The 1,950-nt window shown below is 40.4% G+C and overlaps 1 annotated feature.

Moving 5' to 3' along the window:
- Positions 557–1,058: an enhancer, noted in NCBI's record as "NANOG hESC enhancer chr3:141961954-141962455 (GRCh37/hg19 assembly coordinates)". NCBI's record gives its function as "activates a minimal SCP1, AML or CMV promoter by ChIP-STARR-seq in primed H9 embryonic stem cells {active_cell/tissue: H9 hESC(primed)}" and the evidence as "EXISTENCE:reporter gene assay evidence [ECO:0000049][PMID:30033119]".

Here is a 1,950-nt window from a genome sequence, read left to right on the forward strand (position 1 = left end):
TTGTTGAAATAACTCTTATTTTTAACTCTCCCCACATAATTTAGTAATATTTTCACAGTTTACTATTCTTTCTCCAATCCATTATATTGGTAACTGACTCTAACTTCTTCCTTGGGGTCTTCATTTCCTTCTAAGGGCCCCATTTATAAGTTTACATAAAACTTGTATCATGTTTTTCTCCTGCTAATCTATCTTATATTGATTTAATTTTTGGAACCAGCCCAGAACCTAAAAGGATGAAAATGTAATTGTCTTTCCCTATACTTTCTGGTGATGAGAAAGAGACCCTAAAGCCTGGGACATCCTGCTTGTAATGAAGCCTACAGAAGGGATCCTGGGAGACCTGACATTCTTACCAAAGTCAGCTCCTCCATATCTCTGTCTGTAGTGCTTGTCTGAGAGAAGAAGATAAACATTTTTGTTTGTCCCTTCTTTTCTAGATTTGGATTACCAGGATAAAAACATCAATATGAATTGATTATTTAAATTGTGACTTTTGCGAATTTGGTTCTGGGTGCCCATTGATTATTAATCCAAAGTCTCCCAAAAATAGACCTTGTTTTTCCCCTCTCCCTCTTTTGTGTAATTTGTTGAAAGGAGAAAAATTATAATACATTTTCCTTTATGTCTTGAGAGCTTGGCTTTGTGACCAGTGAGAATAGGATATTCCCTCTGGTCTCCACCAGCCAGGGTCAGGGGTACAGGTTGTTGGGCTTGGGTCAGGTTGTTAGCCAGCTGGCTAAGAGAACAAAACACAAAATGCCTCTTTGTCTAACTGAGCCAGCTCTCAGGGGAATTTGTCTTAATTGTCTCAAGCTGTGTTGCCTTGTGAACAATGAGGATCTTTGCTTTGTTAGGCTATCTTGGGGAGAAAATTTGGATCTTCAGGGAGACTGCAACTTTTTTTTTTTTTGAAACAGAGTCTCGCTCTGTCACCCAGGCTGGAGTGCAATGGCGCAATCTCTGCTCACTACAATCTCCGCTTCCTGGGTTCATGCAATTCTCCTGCCTCAGCCTCCCGGGTAGCTGGAATTATAGACGCATGCCACCACACCTGGCTGATTTTTGTATTTTTAGTAGAGATGTTTAGTAGAGATGGGATTTCACCATGTTGACCAGGCTGGTCTCGAACTCCTGACCTCAGGTGATCCACCCATCTCGGCCTCCCAAAGTGCTGGGATTACAGGCATGAGCCACCTTGCCCAGCCAAGACTGCATCTTTTGCACCCTCTTTAGGGGCACTTCTCACATCCATGGTTAAGCCACAAAAAGCTTATTGGTTTAAGTGGCAATTGGACTAGGTATATCTTTGGAGATTTGGATTTTTGTATCCAAAAGTATATTTCTAAAAGAGCTCTCATCCTAAACAACTGTCCTATTTGTACCTATGGCTTGAAGGAAGAAAATAAATGCTTTTGTAAATTAAGCATTCTCTCAGAAAAATAGGAAATAACCCAAATATTTTTCAAGTTTACATGACCTGGGATGAACGTTAGTAAATAAAAAGCTTGTTTAAGTCTGTTGGTTTAATTAAAACAGGCACGTGTTTAGGGTTGTTAACATTAACTATAATGCAGACACACAACTGCTTGTACCTGGGTTTACTAATCAAAAACTCCTGTGGTTTAGGATGGTGCTATGGTTTGGTAAGTCCCTGCCAAAATGTTGAAATTTGATCCCCAGTGTGCCACTTTGGGGATATAGGGCTTTGTAGGAGGCGTTTGTGTCATATGGACAGATCCCTCATAAACAGATTAATGTTCTCCCTCAGGGGTGAGTGAGTTTTCATTCGCATGGGAATAGATTACTTCCTAAAAGAGTAGATTGTTAAAAAGAGTGGATTCCTGAGTTTCTCTCTCTTGCTTCCTTTCTTGCTATGTGATTTCTTGGTACATGCAAGCTCCTCTTCTGCTTTCCACTATGAGTTGAAGAAACCTGAGGCCCTCATCA

This window comes from Homo sapiens, chromosome 3, assembly GCF_000001405.40.
Source record: "Homo sapiens chromosome 3, GRCh38.p14 Primary Assembly".
Taxonomy (NCBI): domain Eukaryota; kingdom Metazoa; phylum Chordata; class Mammalia; order Primates; family Hominidae; genus Homo; species Homo sapiens.